Source organism: Homo sapiens, chromosome 20, assembly GCF_000001405.40.
Source record: "Homo sapiens chromosome 20, GRCh38.p14 Primary Assembly".
Classification (NCBI taxonomy): Eukaryota; Metazoa; Chordata; class Mammalia; order Primates; family Hominidae; genus Homo; species Homo sapiens.
The window spans coordinates 23,095,935-23,096,502 of NC_000020.11; the positions used below are offsets into that span (position 1 = coordinate 23,095,935).

The 568-nt window shown below is 48.2% G+C and overlaps 1 annotated feature.

The window, feature by feature from the left end:
* Window positions 205-354: an enhancer, noted in NCBI's record as "active region_17629". NCBI's record gives its function as "activates an Ori minimal core promoter by ATAC-STARR-seq in GM12878 lymphoblastoid cells {active_cell/tissue: GM12878}" and the evidence as "EXISTENCE:reporter gene assay evidence [ECO:0000049][PMID:35858748]".

The following is a 568-nucleotide window of genomic DNA, read 5'->3' on the forward strand; positions in this document are numbered from 1 at the left end:
CACTATGAGATTTTTTTGGTGATTTTTTTTTAGCTCATCACTATCGTTAGTGTTAGTGTATTTTATGTGTGGCCCAAGATAATTCTTCTTCCAGTGTGACCCAGGGAAGCCAAAATATTGGACATCTCTCCTCTTTATAAAGCAGGGAGGGTCCTTCTAATTGTAACATCTTATGAATTCTTGAAGACTCTACAACTGTTACTCTCCCTTATTCTTCTTAAGACCAGCTCCACTGTGCACCTGATGCTAGTAAGCGTTGGGACGTGCTGGGAGACTCCCCTATTCAGGGGACAACCCTGACAGATCTGAGCAATGATGACATTTCTGTCCCCAGCTGACACCTGGCTCAGGAGGGACCTGGCTCAGGAGGGACACAGACTGGCCCATGTGGCATAAGGGAAAGTTCCATATGCTTCTGGGAAAGTCCCCCTTGCTCTTAAACAGAGACTGGAGAAATGGCCAGCCTGTCCTCTGAGTGATCTTCTGAGGGCTGGTGTGCAAAGCTGCTGTGGTCAGGACAAGCTGGCTCAGAAAGGTGGCAAAAAGAGGGCAGGAGCTCGGGTCCCCA